This window comes from Homo sapiens, chromosome 17, assembly GCF_000001405.40.
Source record: "Homo sapiens chromosome 17, GRCh38.p14 Primary Assembly".
Lineage (NCBI taxonomy): Eukaryota > Metazoa > Chordata > Mammalia > Primates > Hominidae > Homo > Homo sapiens.
The window spans coordinates 55,390,984-55,416,826 of record NC_000017.11 but is presented as its reverse complement, the minus strand read 5'-3'; the positions used below and the strand labels follow the sequence as shown (position 1 = coordinate 55,416,826).

The window sequence follows — 25,843 nt, the reverse complement described above, 5'->3', positions numbered from 1 at the left end:
ACTCAAGCATTGAGTAACCATTAGGGCCACTCCGCTTTAAATAGAGATGTCTTCCATAAATGGATGCTGTTTTCCATAACCAGCACTTGAACCTTTCCCATTCTTTTTTCGGGGAAGAGATGAAGGCCAGAGTGTGGGAGTTGATTTACATTTTACATCTGCTTTTCCATTTAGGTTTTAGGAGTGATTTCTTCAGGAGGCTGTGGAGGAGGCTTGATTGCACCCTGGCAGGTTAGAGAGAAATGGGAAAATTGTATTGTACTTTCCCAGCAGAACAATTATGCTGTCTATCCTACTGAGCCCCAGATTTAGAGAATTGCTTCCAGGATAGTTACCCTTATCTTTCCCTATTGCCCGTGTCTTACCCTGTGCATCAGGATAGAGTGCCTTAAGTCACCATGGGTGGGATATTTTTCTGTATAACTTTCTACTTTTATTTTTTAATGTGAATTATTCCAGGTGATCAGGGACTAAGCTGTCACAAACATGGCCATCCAGTTTATTTGTTTTTAGGAGAAAATGTGAAAGTCTATCCCTGTTGCTGGGTAATGGCTTGACTATTTTTAGATTGGGCTGCCAGAGATATAAATTGCTATTTTAGTCTGCAGCCTGGTGGTGGGTAGACAAATCCTACTTACTGCACCCTACACAGAGCACATTCAATTTCATCTAACTACAGCCATCTTGGGGCCTTGCTCTTTAGCCTTGAAAATTCCTAATAGGGTATGCTACTTATAGCTCTGTTGTTATGTCTCAGGACAATGATGTGGTATATCCTCCAATTCTTGGGACACTTTTAAAGCATTCTTCCCAAGAGTGTAATTATTTTCTTTTTTGCTAATAAGAGCTGTATAGCAACACTCTTGTCTCTTAGGAAATTAGTAAAATTATTTAAAATATTATCAGGGGAGAAAAGATGATGCTTAATAATAGTTAACTATATTTGAGAATAGCTTGGATAAATTTTGAAGCTACTAACTGTATATTTCTCTTTAACAGTTGGTTTTCAAACCATCTGGTAGATTATACTCAGTAAGTACATATTTTGTACACTAGTTAAATATCTTAACCCATCAGTGGGCCAAGTGAAATATCTTCACTGTCCCAAATTCATTCCCCAGTGGATTTTCCACCTGAACTATCTGTATTGTGTTAATAGTGGCTGCCACTTTATTTTTATTTATTTGATCTAACGATAACAGGCTCTTCCTAACTCAGGGAAAGAGTATTGGCTGGTCTTTTATTAATAAACTTGGCACTCTCTAAAATGGCTTGGTCATGCGTTTTAGCCAATTTTTGGCAACTTGGTTCTACCATTTGGTTCAGCCCTGTACCATTTTTTATTTTGTGTATGAATAAGGTAATGAGTAGTTAGAACTCATTAGTGGCACAAAATACCAACCCCCAACCCCCATTCACACTTCTTTAAACTAGCTTGAGCAAAAGGATTATTTATTGTGCAAAGCCTGTTGACGTCTTACAGACTCTTAAGCACAGGAGTGCAGTGGACCTCTGCAACCTGAATGCTGTTGAAATTTTTTTTTTTTTTTACGTCCGTCTGTTTCTGTGCATCTACCTCTTTCTTCTTTTATTCAGACAGCTGCTTTTTTCTCTCCTGAGAAAAAAAGGATTAATTAGACTAATCCAGAGTCCCTCATGAAACCTGTTGTGGGTATGGGTTGGGTTTTTGGTGGGGAGGGCATCCTCACTCAGCATACTGAAATGGAAGAATGCTATCCTCTCTTTAGGTTCTGTGGTATTCATGCTTTTCTCTGTACTACTGATGGTCACAAAGTTAGCCTAAAGGGAAGTGCGGAATATGGGCATATGTCTATATATGTAACAGATTTTGATATTTAGATACGTACACACATTTGTGTGTATATATGAATTTTATAGCCAAAAGAATCAGGTAGTAGTCATGTGTTTGGTTTTTGAAGCAGACTTTTTGATTTCAGGAAGAACAAAGGTGAAAACATACCTCCGGTTTTAAGTTGCCTAGAGGTAGCCAGGTGTCATTTATTTAAGCTGTCTGGTAATACAATATAGGGAAACTAGTGGGACAGGCCTGTTAATCATGGGATGTAGGGTTTAAAGATGTGCCTATATAAAGCTTTATAAATTTTAAGAGAGAAAATAGAAACTTTGTTTTTCAAATGTAGTGTATCCCTTTTCACTAAATGACAATAAAATTTAGAAAAATTCGTTTTTTTTTTCTAGTTGTACCGTGTGTGTGTGTGTGTGTGTGTGTGTGTGTGTGTGTGTGTGTGAATGGAGGAGGAGGGTTCCAGTTGAAGGGGTGGATATGGTTTCTCTTTGCTTTTGGTTGTAGAAGTTTGCTTTTGGTTATGGAAGGTTTTTCTTTTGAATAAACTGAAAGAAGGCTTAATCTAATAAACTAGGGTATTTGCTTAAGGATCATTGCTATTGGCTCAGTTTACTCCTCTTTAGTGGCTTTGGCTTTATTACCGCAACTGGGTATTTCCACCAGTCACTTCTTTGCGTAGAATAGACCACATACCCACTGGTGGGTTTCCTCATTGTTCTTCACACACTTTGAGTTTTTCTTACATGTGTTCTTTTTGTTTTTACAGGTTCATGAACCATCGAGCTCCAGCCAATGGCCGCTACAAGCCAACTTGCTATGAACATGCTGCTAACTGTTACACACACGCAGTGAGTACAAGTTTTCCACCATTGCCATCCTTTCCACGGGGCTTTGGTGGGAGGAAGGGGTAGTTATCTCTAGTAACCTCAGCACAATTAGTTGGATTTACCCATCTGTGACCTTATCTACCAGGAAATCAGTTCTGGGTCGTGTCACCAGAAACTATGTAAGCATGTAGAATGCTTTGTGTGTTCTAACCTACAGTCAGCTCTGTCCTGGATTCGCTTTCTCCAACAAGATATTCTTTAAAGGAATAATAATAGTATGTACCCTAGTTATAGAAAAACCAAAGACACCTATTTATGAAGACTGTCACCCCTAGAATGAAATGAATCGCCTTTTCAAGACAATCAACTGTGTTCATTTGGCAAAGAGAGTTCACAGTTTGTTGAAAAAGATGCTTTTTAAAATTAAGTGATCCTCTGAAATGGGGAGGGGAGCCATAGCCTCCCACTCCTACAGTGGCCATTGCTTCCCAGAGGAGATGTTATTCCATATTGGTGAAGAAAAAGCCGATGTGATCCCTAAATTTTTTGTTAATTTTTTTCTGCTTTGTAAAAGCAAAACATGCTTATTATAAGAAACTTTAAAAATACTGAAAAATATATAAGAAAAACAAAACTAACCAGAAATAAACTGTTAACACTTCGGTGCATTTCTTTGTGTGTGTGTTTGTGTGTATGTGTGTGTGTATATGTGTGTCTCTGTGTTGGGGGTGTTTGTGAATATGTATGTATTTTCAGTTTTCCTGTTAATGTGACATTAATGGCATTTCTTATGTCATTATAAATTTTTTACTTTACCTGTGGTTTCATTATTCCCTTGCATTTAGTGACATTGAGGGAAAAATAGTGGCTGGGATACAGTCTGAAAACAAGAAATAGAGAAAAGACCAGTTTGCTTCTTTAACAATGAGTGTTTGGAACAGGCTAGTTTAACTGTGGTAGTCACTGTTGGTACAATACAATGGTTCAGATATTGAAACACACAGCTTACCTTTAGGAATAATATTTACTCGGATGAACCTGAATAAACCTTAACTTGTCTCTTCTGAGTGTGTCACAGGTTAAGGAACACTTGTGTAAACTTAAGTAAAGGGAGACCTGACAAAACCCCCATATTAATTTTTTTAGAACAGAAAATATAATCTTATTAAACCGTATCTTGAATTTTTGGATTTCAGGGACCAGTAATATTTCTAACACAGACAAAACACCCCTATTGTCATCATTTCATTGAAGAGAAGATACTTTAACATGAAAAGTAGTAAGGACATGATCTCAAGATAAAGGGCATTCCTTTAAATGAAATACATTTTGTTTTATGAAAAACTTTATTGTACTTAAATGTACTTAAATCCTCTGAAATAGGAAGGCGAGCCATAGACTCTCACCCCTACAGTGGCCATTGCTTCCCGGAGGAGATGCAATTGTATTTAATGTTCTAATTTTGCTTGGGCCAACGAAAACTTCAGCATCTGAAAAACTCATGCCAGTCTCATCTAGGGGATTTAATAGTCTGTTGCAAGGTGACAAATGTAGGTTTGGGGAGAAAAAAGATAAGCAAATTGCTAACATTTGTATTCTTTGTCAAGTATGCTTACTCTAATATCTAATAAAGTAGTTTATTCTCCTGGGAGCTTCTGTCATTGTAAGATGTTTACTAGTCATAGTCATACACATATGACTAGACATTAAAGTTTGTGACCATGTGGACTATGAAATATGATGCAGAAAGCAAATCTCTCTAAAATTCTCAAGATTTTTTGAATAGGTGGGCCTTGGAAATGGTTTGCTCTTGCTTACTTAAAAGGCTCTGTTAAAAATGAAGTGACCCCAAAACTCTTACATTCTGCAGTAGCTCTCAAATTGGTGGAATGTACAGATCCAAACTGAAAATCAGGGTATATAACTTCAACAACTGACTTTTTGTATGTGTGTGTTGCTATGTACATTATAATACCTATTACTTGATTTGTTCAATTATCCTGTCCTGAAATATTGAGATTTCAATTGCAATAGGACAGATATTTTAAAATGAGGACCTCCCTGAAAAATCTGAGTATATGCTTGGCTGTTTTTTGAAATGGGGTCTCACTCTGCCTCCCAGGTTGGAGTTCAGTGGTACAATCATGGCTCACTGTAGCCTCAACCTTTCAGGCCCAAGCAGTCTTCCCACCTCAGCCTGCCAAATAGCTGGGACTACAGGTGTTTGCCACCATGCCTGGCGAATTTTTTAAATTTTTGTAGATACAGAGTCTTGCTGTGTTGCCCAGGCTGGTCTGGAACTCCAGGGCTCAAGCGATTCTCCTGCCTCAGCCTCCCAAAGTGCTGGGATTACAGTCATGAGCTACCACACCCTGCCTGCTTGGCATTTGAATATTTTAAGTAATTACTCTAAATCAGATTATAAAGTAGAATGAAACATGTCCTTATTTAATGAAATTAGGATAAAAAAAAAAAACCATCTGTTTTGCAACAGCTGAATGATGTTGCATCCTTGATGGCTTAATTGTATCCCCACTGGTTGGCACAATTCCTGGACCCTGAGTGGTATTACCTGCTTTCCAGTGTAGCAGCTAACTTCATCTGGCTCTCGTTATGATTATCCAGGAGAGACAAATACTTGCTCTAAGATTATTTTACTAAAATTGTTCCTGGTAAAGCTCTGTATTTTTAGTAAAAGACTCAATTCCATAAAAGCCAGAATATTCCATTCACCATTCTTTATCTTTCCCTCAGTTCCTCATTGTTCCGGCCATCGTGGGCAGTGCCCTCCTCCATCGGCTGTCTGATGACTGCTGGGAAAAGATAACAGCATGGATTTATGGAATGGGACTCTGTGCCCTCTTCATCGTTTCTACAGTATTTCACATTGTATCATGGAAAAAGAGCCACTTAAGGTACAGTGGATGACATGCTGTTTCAACAGATCCAAATAGTTGACTCAACGTGTTTGGTACCCTTCCAAGCTGGCATGCTTTAGTCAAGTAGGGCAAAGAGTAGACATTTTTCTGCCTTGTAGACTAGAATACTATCCCATTATTCAGGACTTGTTCTTTGGACTGGATGAAGTTTTAGGACTCCTCCCCAGCAGGCATCTAAGAAGGTAGGCCTTTGCTCAGTAACCCCAAACAAAACCTAACTGATTCCCCAGGACTTACCACTTAAAAACCTGAGAGCTATTTTCCAGTACTATCAAGCACACTAAGGATATGATGAGAGCAGCAGCTATGGGGTAGTGACAAAGCACACTGAGCTTGGAGTCAGCAGGCAGGCTTTGAGGCCCAGCCCTGCTCTTTAATTTTGGGTAAATCACTTGACCTTGTGGAGCCTCAGTATCTGTATCACTAAAATGAGAATAATAATACCTGAGTCACACAGTCAGTGTGATAGGTGAATGAGATAAGGTACTTGAAAATAACTTGAAAATTACAAAAGACCCTATGAGTGTGTGAGGTATGAAGGTATACTTATAGTTTGCGTTTACCATTTTGCAAAGTTTAGCTTTCAGAATTAAGTCTTGTGTATATTATTCAAACAGAGTTCACGTATTTTGCTATTAATAGTCAAGCACTTTCAAAACAATACTATAGCTCTTGGCCTGCCAATGAGAAGAACGTAAACGCTTTCCTCCTCTGAGTGAAGGATTGATTTTGGAGCACCACACCATTTAGGTGGGAATGGTTTGCTTGTGAAATGGATTCTGCACAACCCTAAAGGGCAAAACTTCTTTTCAAAAAAGGAAGTTTCAGAGCAGACTATGAGCAATTTAAAGAAATACTCGAATATGCCTTTTGGTTTTAAAGAACGTCCAAAAAAAACTCAAACTATTCAAACAATCTGATATTTAAAATATATGCTCCTTTTACAAGCAGGATTTGAGATTTATGAGATGATTACTGGTTTCCTCACATGCAGAATCCTAGAGTTTTAGAGCTGGGAGGATCTTTAGAAATCATCTAATTCAAATCACTTCATTTTTATTTGGGGGAACTGAGGCTCAGAGAAGTGGCCTGACTTGTCTGAGTCAGTGAAACTGGCAAAATCTGATTATTCCAAGACCTCTGACTCCAAGTCCTAGTTTTTTTCACCATATCTTTTACAATATTGCATATAGCTTGCAGTCTGCTACCTTTTCCTGTAAGGTGACAGTTTCCTGGGCTTAAAATAAAACCACAGCATTGAATCACAAGGGCACTTTGGGACACACTCACAAGAGAACCACAAAAGTGCCTGTCCTGGCTCCTTAGGACACACTGTCGCAGCGCCCAGAGGCCAGTTTAGATGCAAAGTACTATATTACCTTCTTGGCACAATTTAGTGCTTGTGGTTGTTTCAGCAAACTTGGCTTCGATGTCTAGATTTTGGATCAATAAAAAGTTGTAGGTACCTACTTCAGTATTCTGGGTCTCCCTGCCAGAGGTGTAATAGAAACTAGATTCTCTTTAACTTTGAATAGCATTGCTAGAATCATATGCCATGTGTAGATTTTTGCTCCTCATTAAAATTTCTAAATATCAAAAAAGCCTTATTTAAGTAAAAGTGAGAAGGGAATTTGCATTTATTATGTGGTAGGTGCTCCTGTGTGCTAGGCACTATGCTAGATACATGGCCTACATTATCTCATTTAATGTTCACACATACTCCATGAGAAAGATCTTATTTCCACTTTACCTATGAGGTAAGTGAGAGTCAGAGAGGTCGGTGGCAGATTTTGGATAAGATTCCAGGTCTGTTGTCTACCTACTCTAACAGCGTATGACAATCTAGAAAACAGAATTAGAAAGGCCCAAAACCTTGCTAGAAATCACAGTCATCCAAGGAGTTTTAAAAACTTATTCTCCTTCCTCCACCCTCTATCTCACCTCCTAGCACTTCAGAATCTTCTGAACTGGAGGCCATCACTGTATTTTGTAAGCTCCCCAGGGGATGATATGCAGTCAAGTTTGAAAAGCATTGACGTAATGTTTGCTTCTTTAGACCTATGGCATAAAGTATCATCTATGGGTATGCTATAGCTTCTGATGACTAGTAGACTGAAACCCATTCTTTCTCACAAATGTATTTTTCATTCCTTTAAAACTTTTTTTTTATTTTTAATTTTTGTGGATACACGGTAGGTATATATATTTATGGAATACATTTTTGTTTTTTTTGAGACAGACTATCACTCTGTTGCCCAGACTGTAGTGCAGTGGTGCGATCTCAGCTCACTGCCACCTCCGCCTCCTGGGTTCAAGTGATTCTTGTGCTTCAGCCATCCGAGTAGCTTGGACTACAGGCGTGCGCCACCACACCTGGCTAATTTTTGTATTTTTAGTAGAGACAGTGTTTCACTGTGTTGGCCAGGCTGGTCTCAAATTCCTGACCTCAAGTGATCCACCTGCCTCAGCCTCCCAAAGTGCTGTGATTATTGCTGTGAGCCACCATGCCCAGGCTTTATGGGGTATGTTTTTTCACTTACTCACACAAGTCTTTATTATTTGCTTTGGTCAATGTTACGTGTAGGGGGAGGAAAGTCTAATACTAGCGTTCCCTCAAATTATAGTTATACCTACTTGGACACTGAAAATAGATTCAAGATGATATTACAAATTTGTACTTTTAAATTACCTCAGTAAAGGGCAAATTCCATCTAATCCATTTTATGAATAGACCTCAGTGAACCAAACTCTTTGTACATATACCTCTGACTTTTCAGTTTTGGAAGGAGGAACTTGCTTAGAAATACAGGTGGCTATGCTTTTGTAGTAAATGTGCCATTTTTTGTTTTTGTTACTGTTTTTCCTAAGTTAGTTTCTGAATTTCCTTTATTACTATTTACTGTCCACACCAGGATATTTGAAGTAAAAACTGTAAATACCTTCTAAAAAGACACAAAGAATGTGATTTCAGCTCAGGGAGTGTTTACTGAACATCAGGACTTTGCCCTGCACTGATAGGAGCTGGGGCAGGTTGCGGGGAGGTGGTCTGCCCTCCAGGAACTTCATTTTTCTGTTAGAGGGGATCCAAAAGAAATGGAAAACATCAGAAAAAGACAGATTTTGTTTGTTTGCTTTAACCACTTCAGGCTTTCTAACTATCATGGGGCCCTGTCCCTATGTCTTATATATGCTGAGAGAATCTATTGTATGTGCAACCTAAAAAATAACAGAAAGCTTTTACTCGTGACTTCATAACATTAACAGCAACAAAAATCTGTGTAACCTTGGAAGAACAAGTGTAAAGGCCATGAGAACTAGAACAAGAATGGAAATTGCAACATAGTGGAGTGATAACCCGTACTTCCCATCTGAACACTTTCTGACAAATTTACTTTTTTTTCCCCCTCGCTAGGACAGTGGAGCATTGTTTTCACATGTGTGATAGAATGGTTATCTATTTCTTCATTGCTGCTTCTTATGCTCCATGGTAAGATACAGTCTTCCTATTTTCGAAGGTAGTGATTTTATGATTAGAATTCCTCACTCCTCCTTTCCTTTCTCCCTCTTGTCCCCACCCTCAGCCCTCATGTGTACACCACCTTCCCTCCTCCTGAACACATACATGCATGCATTTTTTTCCCCATTTGATGTACTTGGGTCAGATTGCATATTTGAAGGGGAGAATATTGCTGCTGTTTATAATATCTGGGTATTGGATTGTTCAAGAAGTGCTATGAACTTGTGTGCAGATAGCTTGCTCACTCTTGAAATCTGTAACCTTTGCTCTCCATATTGTTTCCCTATACCTCTGCTATTGTTCAGAACACTAGAAAATTGAATTATTCAAGTGGAAATGCTGTAAATATGTATGAGGAAAGCAAGCTTATTTATTTATTTATTTATTTATTTATTTATTTATTTATTTATTTATTTTGAGATGGAGTCTCACAATCTCGGCTCACTGCAACCTCTGCCTCCCGAGTTTAAGAGATTCTCCTGCCTCAGCCTCCTGAGTAACTGGGATTACAGGCACGTGCTACCATGCCTGGCTAATTTTTGTATTTTTAGTAGAGACGGGGTTTCACCATGTTGGCCAGGCTGGTCAGGAACTCCTGACCTCAAGTGATCTGCCCACCTTGATCTCCCAAAGTGCTGGGATTACAGGCGTGAGCCACCGTGCCCGGCCTATTTTTTTATTTTTTGAGACAGGGTCTCACTCTGTCTCCCAGGCTGGAATGCAGTGGCGTGATCTCAGCTCACTACAATCTCTGCCTCCTGGGTTCAAGTGATTCTCACACCTCATTCTCCCAAGTAGCTGGGACTACAGACATGTGCCACCACACCCAGCTAATTTTTGTATTTTTGGGGGGAGACGGGATTTCACTGTGTTGGCCATGCAGCTCACTGCAACCTCCACCTCTCAGATTCAAGTGATTCTCCCACCTCTTTCTCCCAAGTAGCTGGGACTACAGGCGTGTGCCACCACACCGAGCTAATTTTTGTATTTTTTGGTGGAGATAGGGTTTCACCATGTTGTCGATACCAGGTTGGTATCGAACTCCGACCCCAAGTGATCTGCCCGCCTCTGCCTCCCAAAGTGTTGGGATTACAGTCATGAGCCACCATGCTTGGCCATTTTTGTTTGTTTGTTTGTTTGTTTGTTTTGAGACAGAGTCTCACTATGTTGCCCAGGCTGGAGTACAGTGGCAGTGGCCCGTGGTCTCAGCTCATGCAACCTCCACCTCCCAGGTTCAAGCGATTCTCCTGCCTCAGCCTCTCGAGTAGCTGGGATTATAGGTGCCTGCCACCACATCTGGCTTCTTTGTTTGTTGGTTTTTTGAGACAGAGTCTCACTCTGTCACCAAGCCTGGGGTACAGAGGTGTGATCTCAGCTCACTGCAACCTCTGCCTCCCAGTTTCAAGTGATTCTCCTGTCTCAGCCTTTGAGTAGCTGGGGCTACAGGCATGTGCCACCATGCCTGGCTAGTTTTTCTATTTTTAGTAGAGACGAGGTTTCGCCATGTTACCCAGGCTGGTCTCAAACTCCTGACCTCAAGTGATCTGCCCACCTCAGCCTCCCAAAGTGCTGGGATTACAGGCGTGAGCCACCGCACCCAGCCTGTTTTTGAAACTTAAGCCATTTGTCTTCAATTCACCTCAAGTGCAGTAGCTACTATATAGCAAGTGTGTTTATCATTTCTTTTGCTGAGTAAGAGAACCATTTAAAATACCTAGTATCCTGTTCATTGCCTTTGATCTTTCTGCCTTTTTGGTGCTGATCAAATATAATCTTTTGTTGCTTTGAAACTCTTAATTAAAGAAACATTAGCTTTCTTCTACAAGACATAATCCAGTTTTAAAAACTCAGAAGCTTATATTTTGCAATCATCTATTGTAGTCATTAGAAACAGTATGCCTCTAGATTCTGACTAATGCAGCATCAATGATTCAAAAGAAACCTGATTATCTGAAGGAGTAAAAAGTAAGTGCTATCTTTGCCCAGCATCTGACTAAATTATAGGTCGGCTTCATGTTGGAAGAAGAACACTGAAAGGCTTTTATGAATGGACATTAAATGCCCAGAACAATGCTTATTTCAGTAGGAACCTACAGGGTGTTCCAAACAGGATTCCTTACTTAGTTATTTTAAATTCTTTAATTTAAAATAAGTAAATGAATAAAATTAATTTAAATGTGAGCTGAGGAGTTAAATATCATAGTAGGCAATTTGTTTACCTGTAGTTTTAGATATGTAGGCTGTACTTTTTCCATTTGGAAATGTGACTTTTGTAGTTATAGATAATCAGGACAACATTTGTTTCTTCCTCATTTATTCTTTTTTTTTTTTTTTTTCTTTGAGACGGAGTTTTGCTCTTGTTGCCCAGGCTGGACTGGACTGCAATGGCGCGATCTTGGCTCACCGCAACCTCTGCCTCCTGGGTTCAAGAGATTCTCCTGCGTCAGCCTTCCAAGTAGCTGGGATTACAGGCACGTGCCACCATGCCCAGCTAATTTTTTTGTATTTTTAGTAGAGATGGGGTTTCACCATGTTAGTCAGGCTGGTCTCCAACCCCTGACCTCAGGTGATCCACCCATGTCAGCTTCCTAAAGTGCTGGGATTACAGGTGTGAGCCACCACACCTGGCCTCATTTATTTTATTTATTTTTTTTGAGACAGAGTCTTGTTCTGTCACCCAGGCTGGAGTGCAGTGGTGCGATCTCAGCTCACTGCAACCTCTACCTCCTGGGTTCAAGCGATTCTCCTGCCTCAGCCTCCCTAGTAGCTGGAATTACAGGTGCCCACCACCATGCCCAGCTAACTTTTGTATTTTTAGTAGAGACTGGGTTCCACCATGTTGGCCAGGCTGGTCTTGAACTCCTGACCTGAAGTGATCTGCCTGCCTTGGCCTCCCAAAGTTCTGGGATTACAGGTGTGAGCCACTGTTCCTGAACTTCTCATGTATTCTTAATATGAAATTAGTACAAATGAATTTGCAGCATTTTAAAATTCAAACCTCACAACAGTCCATGGTTAAATTCTACCAAAATGTCTTCCATAATACATGTTAGGAATAATTCTTCTCATACTCTCTCTTGGCAGAGAGACTGATAATGGAGACACACTTGGTTTGTGTATTAGGTATCCACTGTGGGTATCTGATCCTGCGTCAAAATTTTGTTCCAGGTTCTTCTCATTAAGGTTTGTAAGTAATCTGCTCCCAAATACATGGTCAGAAATTAAAGGGCAAGCAGTTTTGACCTCATTCTGCCTAATAGGGTAAGTTAGGCGTCATAAGAGTGCTGGGACTCCCTTCAACTTGTCTGCTTTTAGCTGGTTCTATTTTTAAACCATGTTGAAACTAATTCTTTTTTTTTTTTAGGTGGAGTCTTGCTCTGTCGCCCAGACTGGAGTGCAGTGGTGCAATCTCAGCTCACTGCAACCTCTGCCTCCCGGGCTCAAGCAATTCTCCTGCCTCAGCCTCCCGAGCAACTTGGATTACAGGCACATGCCACCACACCTGGCTAATTTTTGTATTTTTAGTAGAGATGGGGTTTCACCATGTTGGCCAGGCTGATCTTGAACTCCTGACCTCAAGTGATCCGTCTGCCTCGGCCTCCCAAAGTGCTGGGATTACAGATGTGAGCCACCACTCCCGGCCTAATTCTGAGTCTTAAAGGTCGACTGACAAATTTGTTTTTGAGTTGCTTAATTTTACCTAAATTGCCCAAATGCCTGCTTGATGTGTTGAGTGTGTTTTCTTCCTGCTCTTATCCTAAGACTTTCTCAGTTTTCAATGACACAGGTTCTATGAATTCCCTTCATTTATCACTTCTGTTCTTTGTTGTCACGTTTACATTTTTAGGTTAAATCTTCGTGAACTTGGACCCCTGGCATCTCATATGCGTTGGTTTATCTGGCTCATGGCAGCTGGAGGAACCATTTATGTATTTCTCTACCATGAAAAGTAAGAGAAAATAATTTACATTTGATAGTTTTAAAATTGACTGCCTAAATATTATCTGCACTGCAATACAATTTACTTTTATTTGTACTTCAAAACAGTAGAAATACATATATAGAATATGTTATTTTTAATAAATCTTCAAAACCATTTGGTATTCATTATTAGTGGAAAGATTGCTGTGGAAAAACAAGAGTGGTACAGGTTTGGTATAATGTAGTTGAGGGGACATGGTAACCAGCCCCTTTGGAGTCCATCAGACTTCATTTCTATAGCATGAGGCAAATTGGCCTTATTCTCTGTGATTCAGTCATCACGTGAGAAAACCAGCCACTTGTCAAGGTGTCTATGAAGATTGGAGAGAATAGATATTAAGTGCTCAGTACAATATACCTAAATAAGGGCCTAGAGGGTATTCCAAAAAGGGTATCTTGAGAAAAAGGATGTTGGGAAGGACATTGGAACTCTTAATATCCTATCCCTAGGGCACAGCTTTTTAGCCAGTTATTCATAGCTGATAGTCCTAATTATTGAGCCATATAAAAACAAAAGCTAATTGAAATTTAGTATCTTTGCTCTAGAGGAGACCTTCAAGGTCCCCTATTCCAACTTCATGATTAAAAAGTCAGAACATTTAGGATATGCATCAAATTAGTGACTCATCTGGAAATTAGGACCCAAACATCCAAGTTCTGATTCCATTGCTCTTTTTATTACCCTGTATGTTTGAATTTGAGAAACACACAACCAGGAAATCTTTGTCATTGGGTTTATTTACAGTTCATTAAATTCTGTATCTATTGTGCTTGGCAGAATGGCTCTCAGAATTGAACATAATTTGTGTTTATCAGAAAATACTAAATTGTTTTCCCCTTTCAGAAGAAGAAAATGGTAGTTTTCACTAACTTCTTTTTGTCTCTGAAATTCACTTAAATACCTTTTTGACCATAATTAGCAATGCTGAGTAGTGTTATATATTATAGCATATTTAAGTCCAAGGGAATGGTTTGCTTCTTGGACTCAAATCTCTTATTTATATCCTTGGATAAAATAGGAAGTCAAGAAAGGCAACTATCTTTTCTCCTTTTCCCGGCCTTCTGGTGTAAACAAAACCCATAAACCCATTCTTCCCCTATCTGATTATTTCATGGTAGGCTTTGAGTATAAAACACGATGAATGAGGTATGAGTCACCCTTGGCCATTCAGTTTGGCAGACATTAGGGAGTACCTAAATTGTATCAGGTACTGTTCTAGGATTTACAGATCAAAACATAATTAATCTTGGTTCCTGCCTTTGAGGAGCTTATCGTCTGGTTTGATTAGGCTGAAATGTAATTTGAATTTCAATACAATGTATTTCTTAGGGTTTTTAGATCTTTTGTAGTCTAACGTGATGAGCCTTAAAATTACAGTTTGTGCAGGTGCAAAATAAAGAGACAAACAAAATTACACGTCCTTTCCTTAGGGCTTGCTGTTCCTTTTTGCTGATAAACTAGGCTCCAGGCTGCATCTCCATTCATCTTCAGAATTTCACTTCTAGCTCTGGATTGGAATGGTAATGAAAGCAGACACTCTAGGATCAGAAGAGGAAATATTTTACAAGGTGGAGTGGGTTAAACGATAACTACTTTTGGCAGAAAACATTTTCTTTTTTTTTTCTTTTCTTTTTTTTTTTTTTTTTGAGACTGAGTCTCGCTCTGTCACCCAGACTGGATGGAGTGCAGTGGTGCGATCTCGGCTCACTGCAAGCCCCGCCTCCCGGGTTCACGCCATTCGGGTTCACGCCATTCTCCTGCCTCATCTCCCCGAGTAGCTGGGACTACAGGCGCTCGCCACGCCCAGCTAATTTTTTGTATTTTTAGTAGGGACGGGTTTCACCGTGTTAATCAGGATGGTCTCGATCTCCTGACCTCGTGATCCGCCCGCCTCGGCTTCCCAAAGTGCTGGGATTACAGGCATGAGCCACCGTGCCCGGCCGGCAGAAAACATTTTCTAGGTGGCATGTGGGATTTGATGCCTTTTCAACCCTGAGAGAAATGCTAGTTCCTTGTTACTCAGCTACTGTGTTTTAGTTAGAGGCCTAGTGGTTGCCTACTGAGAAATAAAGTTTTATTTGAATAGTTAAGAGTTTACATTTCTTTCTCAAAAGTAAAAAGGAAAGGCTGGTATGTAAATTGTTAGGTGTTATAGAAATTTATAAGTTAAATTAACTGCATTTTTGTTCCTGCAGATATAAGGTGGTTGAACTCTTTTTCTATCTCACAATGGGATTCTCTCCAGCCTTGGTGGTGACATCAATGGTAAGACATGGCTTCAGAATTTTAGTTATTTTCTTTTAAGCTGCTGGAACTTAACATGATTATGGATATGATATGTAGCTTTTCTTTATAAAGTTATGTCCATTAAATAGAGGCTCAAAAGAAAAAGAACTTATAAATAATGAAGTGTTTAGCTTGGCATGGTGGCATGTGCCTGTGGTCCCAGCTACATGGGAGGCTGAGGCAGGAGGATTGCTTGAGCCCAGGAGGTTGAGGCTGTGGTGAGCTGTGTTCATGCCCTACAGCCTGAGGAACAGAGCGAGACCCTGTCTCAAAAAAATAATAAAAATAATGAAGTGTGCCAGCAACTCGTAAGCTTGCACTAGGTACCGTGTACAGTTTGGGAAAGCTATAAATTCAGGTATGTTTCTGTCTTTATGGTACTTTCCTGAATCAGAACCAGAATAGGTTCAGAGAGGTATTTTTCAAATCCCTTTACTCTTACTTTTCCTTTCCCTTGCTTTTAAGTCGTAAGTCAAGCACTTTTTTTGTTTGTTTGTTCTGTTTTCTAAGGCAAGCACTTTTTTTTTTCTTTTACTTTGCTTGAAAATATCTTTTGGGGATTTTCGTGGGTAAAGTGTAACATTACCTGTAATAGGCAGTTGCATGTATATATTTGAATTCCCTTTCAAATTGAATTACTGTTGAGAAGTCTGTGTGTGTCTGTCTTTTTGAAATGAAAATATATTATTACGACTTCATGGTTCCATCCACCTGGTTACCAGCCCTTTAGCTTATATATTGCAGTATCTTAGGCTCTAGGCACTATATTAACTAAGGAGGTCCCAAGGTGTTTCGTTTGAACCCTTCTGAGCCTACATTGTTCAGAAGAACTGTACTTAGGATTTCACTCCTAATCTCATAGGCACATTGTAAGAACCTTTTTTTTTTTTTCTTTTTTTTGAGACAAAGTCTTGCTCTGTTGCCCAGCTGGAGTGCAGTAGAGCGATCTTGGCTCACTGCAACCTCCGCCTCCTGAGTTCAAGTGATTCTCCCACCTCAGCCTCCTAAGTAGCTGAGATTACAGATGCGGGCTGCAACCCTTGGCTAATTTTTTGTATTTTTAGTAGAGATGGGGTTTCACCAAGTTGGCTAGTCTGTTCTTGAACTCCTGAGCTCAGGTGATCCACCTGCCTCGGCCTCCCAAAGTGCTGAGATTATATGCGTAAGCCATCACGCCTGGCTGTAAGAACATAATTCTGTGATAGTTTTTTTCCTGGTCACAAAAACACCTATAAAAGGTTTAAAAGTTTCAAATCTGGTTCTGTTTTTTCAGGGGATGTCTTCATGAGAATATAACAAAATATATTTCTTTGAGATACGAGGTTTATGATGGCTTTAATAATTACCTAGCACCCAAAATACATATAGATGGTAAAAGCAACAGGGAATGGTAAGGAGGAGGAGTTAAAGGACAGAAATGAGAAAATCAGCCTTGAAGGCCATATAGTTAGAAGGCATTTCAGGACACCCCAAGCAATATAAGCAAGGTTTGTGCAGCTTAATAGAGTAGAATTTCAAGCAAATTCCCTCTGGGTATCATAAGAGCAGGTTTATCCAGTAATTTTACTAGCCTAAATTTGAAATTGACATTTCCATAAGTGGTACAATAGCAGGTGACTAATGTTTGTGATAATCAAGCAGGATGATCCCCCACACTGCCTTCATAGAACTTAGAGTCAAGCAGGCAAATGCAGTTCCTATTAAAGAAAAAGAGATCATGAAATTTGATAAAATATTTGATGGGGGAAAGTTCAGGCTGCTATGCGAACATGACAGAAGTACCAGAGGAAGTGATATTTCAGCTGATTTGGAAAAACATGTAGAAGCTGAGAGATGGTAGGGGTGAGGCAAGTGTTACAGGTAGAGAATACAGCATGAAGGAAGCCCAGAGAAGGGGGAAGCACCAGCATCTTTGGAGAAATGAAAATAGCTCATTGTTTGTAACATAAAATACATGTACCAGCTTGAGTTATGTACATATGCATGGTGGGGGCAGGTATGCAGGTAGCACAAGTCTTGTAATAAAGCTGGAGAGCTAGACAAGAGTCCAGATCACAAAGGACCTCAAAAGCCACTAACACAGTAACAGAATGAATGAAAATGCGAATCTTTGGTTCTGGCCAGAATCATGGGTCTCAGACTTACCCTTCTGCCATAAAGAACTGTAAAACTAGAAAAAGAATAAAGGCAACTGTTTTTTTGGCTCTGAACCCAAACAGTACAGGACTGTGATCCTTGAAGGAAGAGAAACCAAGAAAATGAGCTTTGAATTCACCCCAGTAGTTTCCCTGGAGACACTTTCCAAACAGCAACAAAAGGAGGTAAAGCCCAGAGAACAGCAGCCTGGGTGGAGGAAACAGAAATTACAGTTCAGGTTACTGACATGGCTGCAGTTTGTGGGGCAGGGTATGGAAGAGGAGGAAGCCGCTCAGGGAGGATGCTTCAGAAATCCATGAAGCAGTTTCCGTGAGTCGTTGTCCAGATATCAAGCTGAATGTTGTACGGGCCAAAACTCTGCAAGCTCCAGTTGCAAATAACTCTTAGAAGGCTGGAAGATAAATGGAAATTCCGGACAGTTCCCAGTGCTGAAAGACATTGAAGTTCCAACCAAGCAGAGTTCAGAGATGGTGCTGGACATCCCAGGCACTCAGCTGACCCTGCCAAGGCCACAGCTTAGGAGTAGAGCTACTCTATCCCTAGAGGGAGGGCTACTCTAGAACTGCCATAACAAGGCCCAGACAAACCTTGAAAGGATAAAATTGATCCTCCAGTAAATAAACCGCCTAACAGAACAAAACTCAACAATTTTTAAAGGAATACAACAGAATCTTTACTGTAACAACTTAGCATGTACCATAAGTAAATATTATCAGAAATAAATCAATAATAATGTAATAAAATAAATAATAAATATATAATAAATATTACCAGATGGGCAAGAAACTGGAAAGTGACACATACCTAAGGGAAAACAGATCAATAGACACAGATCAAAAGACGGGAGAGATACTGAGATTCACACACAGGGAGTTTAAAACAGATGAGGAATCTCAGAAAATACCTGGAGACTATGAAGAAGAATCCACATGGAGATTCTAGATCCGAAAACTGTGATGTCTTAAGAAAAAAAAATTATTGGAGGGATTTAATAACAGATTGGATATTGCAGAAGCAAAGTTCAGTGAACTTGAAGCCAGGTCTGTAGAAACTATACAAACTGAAGCATGAGAGAAAAGAGTGATTTAAAAATGAACAAAAGAAGAAAGAAATTGGGGCAGTTTTTTGTTTTGGGTTTTCTGTTTTACAGTTTTTCTTTTCTTTTTTTTTTTTTTTTTTGAAGAAATAATAGTTACAACTTTTCCAAATTTGATGAAAAATATCAACCTAGAGATCCACAAAGCACGAGGAGGCCTGAGCAGTATAAACACAAAGAAAACTACACTAAGACACATTAAAGTCAAATTACTAAAAAACAAAGGCAAAGACAAGACCTTAAAATCAGCCAGAGAGAGAAAAAAGAGCAAGGAGAGAAGATGACCACTGACATTTTATCAGAATTCATGGGAGCAGGAATACAATGTAATGGCACATTTAAAATGCTGAAAGGGTCCGGGTGCTGTGGCTCACGCATGTAATCCCAGCACGTTGGAGGCTGAGGCGGGTGGATCATGTGAAGTCAGGAGTTCAAGACCAGCCTGGCCAACATGGTGAAACCCTGTCTCTACTAAAAATACAAAAATTAGCTGAATGTGATGGCAGAACTCCTGTAATCCCAGCTACTCGAGAGGCTGAGGCTGAGGCAGGAAAATCGCCTGAACCCAAGAGGTGGAGGTTGTAGGAGGTTGTAGTGAGCTGAGGTCGGGCCACTGCACTCCAGCCTAGGCAACAACATGAGACTCCATCTCAAAAATAAATAAAATAAAATAAATAAATAAATAAAATGCGGAAAGGAAAAAACAAAAAAACCCTGTCAACTTCAAGTTGAAGTTAGCACAGTTTAGTAATATTAATGTCAAAAATTTAACCAGGGAGGCCAAGGCAGGCAGATCACTTGAGGTCAGGAGTTCGAGACCAGCCTAGCCGACATGGCAAAACCCGTCTCTACTAAAAATACAAAAATTAGCTGGGCGTGGTGGTGGGCACCTGTAGTCCCAGCTACTTGGGAGGCTGAGGCAGGAGAATCACTGGAACACGGGAGGCAGAGGTTACAGTGAGCCAAGATCGTGCCACTGCACTCCAGCCTGGGCAACGGAGCAAGATGCTGTCTCTAAATAAATAAATAAATAAACCAGGATTGCTAGAAATGATGAATTTGTATGTAAATACATGGCTGTTTTTCATTTCTTAATTTCTTCACAAGATAACATGGGGGTTTCTAACATGTAGAAGTAAAGTACATGGTAACAATGGATGGGGTGGAGAAATAGAAGCACATTGTTTTAAGGGTCTTAACCTTGTATAGGGGGTATAATAATAAAGGTACATTGTGATGAGCTAAGGATGCACACTGTAATCCGTAGAATAACCACCACTGGCCAGGCGCGGTGGCTCACGCCTGTAATCCCAGCACTTTGGGAGGCCGAGGTGGGTGGATCACGAGGTCAGGAGTTCGAGACCAGCCTGACCGACATGATGAAACCCCATCTCTACTAAAAATACAAAAATTAGCCAGGTGTGGTGGCACACGCCTGTAATCCCATCTACTTGGGAGGCTGAGGCAGGAGAATCCACTTGAACCTGGGAGGCGGAGTTTGCAGTGAGCTGAGATCATGCACTGCACTCCAGCCTGGGCAACAGAACAAGACTCCATCTCAGAAAAAAAAAAGAATAACCACCACCACCACCAACAACAACAAAAGCAAAATAAATGTTATAGTTAAGTAGTCAAGAGAAAAGATAAAATGGAATCCCAAAGTTATTCAATTTAGTCTAAAGCAGGTGGGAAAATTGGAAAACGGAAACAAAGGATGGATGAAACCAAATAGAAAACAGAGAGCAAGACGGGAGGCTTCAATACAACCATATCAGTAATTAGGTACCTCATATATAATAACAATTACATCACAATGGACTGAACACTCCAACTAAAAGGCAGAGATTGTCAGACTGGATAAAAAAGTTTTCTCATCTGTATAATGGAGATAATAGTACCTAATTTAGGGTCGTTGTGAAGATTAAATGAATAAATATATGAAGTGCTTCAAACAGTGCCTGGCACATAGTTACAATAATGATAATGATAATGAAAAAAAAATTCTGTTTTGATACAGAATTAACTATGTTCTAGGTCTTTGAAAGTTGAGGTAAATGTGGTATCTTGAGGATACTAGTTAACAGAATGCATGTCAAAACTAACCTGCGTACTTGGTTTGGTGTCTTGCTTGTTTTGGCAGAAAGGAAAAAAAAGGATATTTTGTAACAGTGACTGGCCATGTGATTTTGTTCAGGCCACTTCACTGCTCTGGCCTTAGTCTCCTCACCTCTGCAATAAGGGGGTTGTGTTAGATGAGTGACTCTTACTATTTGGGAGTCCCTGTGCCCCTTTGCGAATCTGATGAGAGCCTTACCCCTATCCTAGAAGAGGGCTCCTAATACACACACAAATACTTTTGTATAATGTGTATTCATTGCTGTATAACCTTGAGGAATTAATAACGTGTGGTATTTTGTCTTTGTTTTTACTTTTTAAATAAAAATAAATCTAGCTGAAGTCCTTTCTTACCAAGGTTAGGAAGAAATCCAATGTCAGTCCATTTGGATTGGCTCCTTCCCCATCTTTTGATCCCACACAAAACATGGGGGCTTCTGTGAACTTTGAAAAAGGACTGAAGCTCACAGCTGGCCCTAGATCCTCACACCTGGTCCTTAGCTCATGATGGTCTATTGTTGCCTTGCTTTTAGCCGAGGGCCTTGGGGCCCATTCTAATCAGGTGCCTGAGTTAGAGCTTCCCTTTACTCTTGCGGGGCACACAAGGCTGCTGCCCAGTGCCCAGGCCTCTAGGACACCCACACACCTATCCCCTTCCAAGGCCCTGCCGTGATCTGCCTTAGGTTTCCATTCACTCTGCAGAACCTGTCTCCTTTCTATTCCTAGTCCTCAGAAATCCAGGGGACTAACTTGTTTCTTCATCAGCTTCTAAGCATTGCCTCTATTCTCTCTCCTCATTCATACAAGCCATTTTAATCTTGTAGATGGGCCTTGGTCTTTGAAAACCAAGAACAGCCTAAAAAATTCTCCCTTCTGCCCTAAGACACACAAGAATATTAACTTATTGCTAAGCTAAGCAATGGCCAGGCTCGAATACAAAAAGGCCTGGAGACATCTAGAAGGCTAGGAAATATCTTGTACTATGTGATCTGTGATTTCAGAGGTCACTTCTAGTTACGGTTTTCCTGTGTCAGCCTTAAGGAATCTATAAGCTCACATAAGCAGGGGAAGTCTCAAAGCAGCAATCAGTGTAGAACAGTGTTTGAGAAGGACAAAGGGAAGTAAATACCCTGCCTGAGATGTAAATTATAAATAGAGTGGCTTGGGCCTGCCTTAGTAGGGAAGGAAGCATTTAAAGGGGAAGATGAGAACAGAGGATTGCACTTTATTAAAATGAACTCCCATGTCTGGCTATGATTGCAGTTTGCTTAAATATGCTGTAAATGAGCAGAATGTTCTGCTTTTTCATTTGGGACCTGTAATGTGATTGCTTGCTCAACTCAAGAGTGTCAGTCCAAAGGGCAATCCAGGTCGATGTATAAGAGACTTTTTTTATGTTTGGTTCATGTTTACAGATCAGGATTGTGTTCACACAGCTTCTTCATTGTCTAGAAAATCAAGAGCCTTAGAGAGAATTACAGTTATCTGTAGCTTGCCATGCAGAGTAACATCAAACCCTTTTTATTTTTTTTTCTCTGTTGACAGAACAACACCGATGGACTTCAGGAACTTGCCTGTGGGGGCTTAATTTATTGCTTGGGAGTTGTGTTCTTCAAGAGTGATGGCATCATTCCATTTGCCCACGCCATCTGGCACCTGTTTGTGGCCACGGCAGCTGCAGTGCATTACTACGCCATTTGGAAATACCTTTACCGAAGTCCTACGGACTTTATGCGGCATTTATGACCAATCTGTACTAATTCTCCAAACCAGTATTATTTCAATTATGGCACTTGGGAGTGGGGTGAGAGCTAAACATTGCACAGGGAAAGAAAAAAAATAACTGCACTGACTTTATATCTTTTGAATATAATTACTGTGAAAGTATAAAGGCTGTGTTCTGGAATTTTCTGCCTCACAGCAAATAAATAAGGTAGTGAATTAATTATTCATTCCATTCCACTATCATGAAGGACTCTGAATAGACTTGGCCAACTGATGTTTACAAACCAGACTTTTATATTTTAATTTTACAGATTTTACTACATGATTTTTCTAAATTACTATGTCAGGTTGTAAAAGTCAGTGCAATAACAAACCTTCCTTTTTAAGAAGAAAATTGTTTCTATTACTTTCCCATTCACTAGGTAAAGAATCATGGACAGAACTTACACTACTTTTTACCATGTTTCATCTTGGCATAACATGGTTCTTTTTTAAATAGAAACTTTAGTTTTTTGTAAATTTTTAAAAAAATATTTCATTGATATGCATCTCTGCAGGTCCTCATTCATGTTGTAAATTTTTGCAGCAAGCAGTCAACATTCCACAAACGAACAAACATTATACCTCTTCTGATAGTTTTATTAAGCATGGAGAAATTGCCAATTTTTAAAAACTGCAGTTTTCCAAACTTTTCTGCCAACCTCTTACTCTGAATTCAGTGCTGCTTTGGGACATATACTTGACCTAGCTTGGTTTACCAGTGATGGAAAAGTATTTTGATATCATTAACTTTTTCAAAAGATCCAACTTTTTCTCTATGCCTTTGCCACATTCTCTTCAGGGTCTCTTTCCACAGTGGATAAATGTTTTTTCTGTATTATGACAGTATTGTTGTGATGGCCATCTGCTGGAAACTCCTGAAGAGCATTATGTATTACAGTGAGCAGTTGTATTGCCTGTTTGGTGCCCAATGGTTAAGTCATTGTCACTTAGCTTTATATTGTCAGTTTGATATTTATTTTAAATTGTGGAACTAGATGCATAAATTCACATTTCTGCCTTTCCTTTGCATCTTCTCATATATTGTGTTTTTTTTTTTTTTTCCTAGAAAAAATATTTAAAGCATTGTTTGACAGGTAGAAACTCATGTATCTGTAGTCCATGAGTTATATCCTGGCTCAGTGGAGTGATATTTATGTATTATTTTTACTTTTCTCTCAGTGTCTTATATTAAGATTAACATGTTGTTAATAGTTGCTTTGTTGATTAATCTCTCTTGTTGGTGTTTTAATAAATGAAATAGGCTTGCCTTTAGATCGGGTGCTGATATTGCCTGTTTCCTAGTAATGGGCTGATCAAATGATCAGTGGAATTCTTGGTTTGATGATAACCTTATTAATTGAAATTTTTTACTGATGTGGCTTTAAAAGAGGTTTATTTTGTATATGTTTAGAACTCTCTGATTTTGATGAATTATATGGGAATGAGAAACAGAAGAAGTGGTATTTGCTGGCGAGTTAAATAGGCAAGGTACCCAGTGATAACACCAACCAAACCACTCCTATCTGCATGATTCTGAACATCTGGATGCCTGTTGTTTTACTGTGTATATTTTATTTTTAATATATTAACTTTGTGGATTCATTTAAGGTCTACTCAAAAGTAACACTGTCAAAACCACTAATATGTATGTAAAAATTGTGCTGTATACTACAATAAAGTTGTTACTTGGATTTGTTCCACTGTCTCTAAATTAGATGACTGTGAAGAAAAATGAATACACCCTGTCACTTAGAACTTTCTAGTCTACTTTTTAATAATTGAAATGCCAGAGTCAGCTCAAACATTAATCAACAGACATTTTCAGTTTAAAATACACTAGTCAGGACCTAATGATTTCAAGTTTTTTAGATGATGCATCCTTACCAAGGTAAGCCTTTTGGTTTAGCATATTTAATATTCTATAGGACTGAGGTGACAGTCTTTTATGTTACCAACCAGACAAGTAGCAGATTATAAATCTTAACAACTCTCCTAGTGTTAGATGCCATTCTACCTCTTCTGTAGTGTGGGAAACCAGGGCCAGAGAAGTTCAACTGCTTCATCCTAAATCAGGGAGCTGGAACAGCAACCAGCTCTATCTGATTCCGAAGCCTCCCATTGACTATACCACTGCATTTCTAGAGTCAGCAGAAACAAATAAAAAAACTTGAACTAAAAATTCATCAGGCATGGACACAGAAAAGAAAACACTATTCACATGGTTTAGAACCTCAATAATCCCTCAGATAACTCTCTGTCAAATCTAATTTTGAAGATTGAGTGTCTTGAAGCGTTATGATTCCCAAGAGTTCTGTCCTTTAGGTCACCAGTGTGACCTCATCCATTTCTAGAGTGTCCCCACTATTGTGCTGTCAGCTTCTTGGTCAGTATCTTCAGCCTTAAACTATTTTCTAAGGACTAGACCTCTCTCTAGTCAACTGCCTAAATGCTCCCAGACATATTGACTCAAACCGTCCCAAACTGATTTCATTATCTTTCCTCATCCTACCACCAAACCTATTTTCTGAAATTTCCTAACTTAGTTAATGGCATGGCCACAGCCATCTGTTCATTCATGCATCCTTGATTTCTTGCACCCCCCAGATGCAACAGGTCAGCCAGAACTGTCACCCCTGCCTTTCTCACAACTCCCTGGTCTGGTTCCTCACCTCTCTTCACACTGCAGGGTCCTAAAAAGACCTACTTAGCACTCATCAGACTACAGCAGCCACCTCCTCATTTGTATCCCTGCCACTGCTTACACCCCTCAAATGAGCTCATCCTCCACACTGTACCAGCATTATCTTCCCAAAATAAAATCTGAGCATGTGTCTCGATGCTCCAAAACTTCCACTGACTATTATCCTATAAGATTCACGCCAGATGCTTTAGCATGGACTCTTCACATGCTGACTCCGCCTGATCGGCCCTCTCCCCAGCTGAACCCCACTTGACATCAGCCCTGCTAGTGATTTTCACAGCCTCCCCCACAACACACATGCCCTCATGGTGCTTTTGCAGCTGTGTTTTTGTACCTGCTGTTCCTTGGCCTGGAATGCCCTTACTCCAGCCCCTTTCCTACCTGGCAAATAGTTGCTTATTCCAAGCCTTCATCAGGTGCCACCCATCTCCCTTGTGCCATTGACCAAGTTCCCCCTGGCATGAGTAGTAGTGCCCTCCTTTGACCCCATGGCACAGATATTCCTTCATGGCCCCTGTCATGGTGCATTGTGATTGTGTTTACTGTCTTTACCTCTGGTCTTGGGACTGACCTCCTTCAGGCAGGGACAGAGTCTCATCCACTTCTGTTCCTAGCTTCTAGCATAGCA

General features: G+C 39.8%; 1 protein-coding gene across 2 annotated transcripts in view; it reads left to right on the top strand.

The window, feature by feature from the left end:
* The window catches only part of MMD (monocyte to macrophage differentiation associated), a 29,214-nt gene extending 5,009 nt beyond the window's left edge, over positions 1 to 24,205 (top strand). The window contains exons 2-7 of one of the 2 annotated variants that reach the window (NM_012329.3): positions 2,595 to 2,676; positions 5,410 to 5,570; positions 9,007 to 9,081; positions 12,959 to 13,060; positions 15,289 to 15,358; positions 22,293 to 24,205. In NM_012329.3, coding sequence (NP_036461.2) covers positions 2,595 to 2,676; positions 5,410 to 5,570; positions 9,007 to 9,081; positions 12,959 to 13,060; positions 15,289 to 15,358; positions 22,293 to 22,493 — 691 coding nt within the window. In that variant the 3' untranslated portion in view covers positions 22,494 to 24,205. Of the gene's footprint in view, positions 1 to 2,594; positions 2,677 to 5,409; positions 5,571 to 9,006; positions 9,082 to 12,279; positions 12,514 to 12,958; positions 13,061 to 15,288; positions 15,359 to 22,292 lie in introns of those variants that run through there. The other variant, XM_047435708.1, reaches the window with a different exon arrangement.
* Positions 24,206 to 25,843: the final 1,638 nt, after the last annotated feature.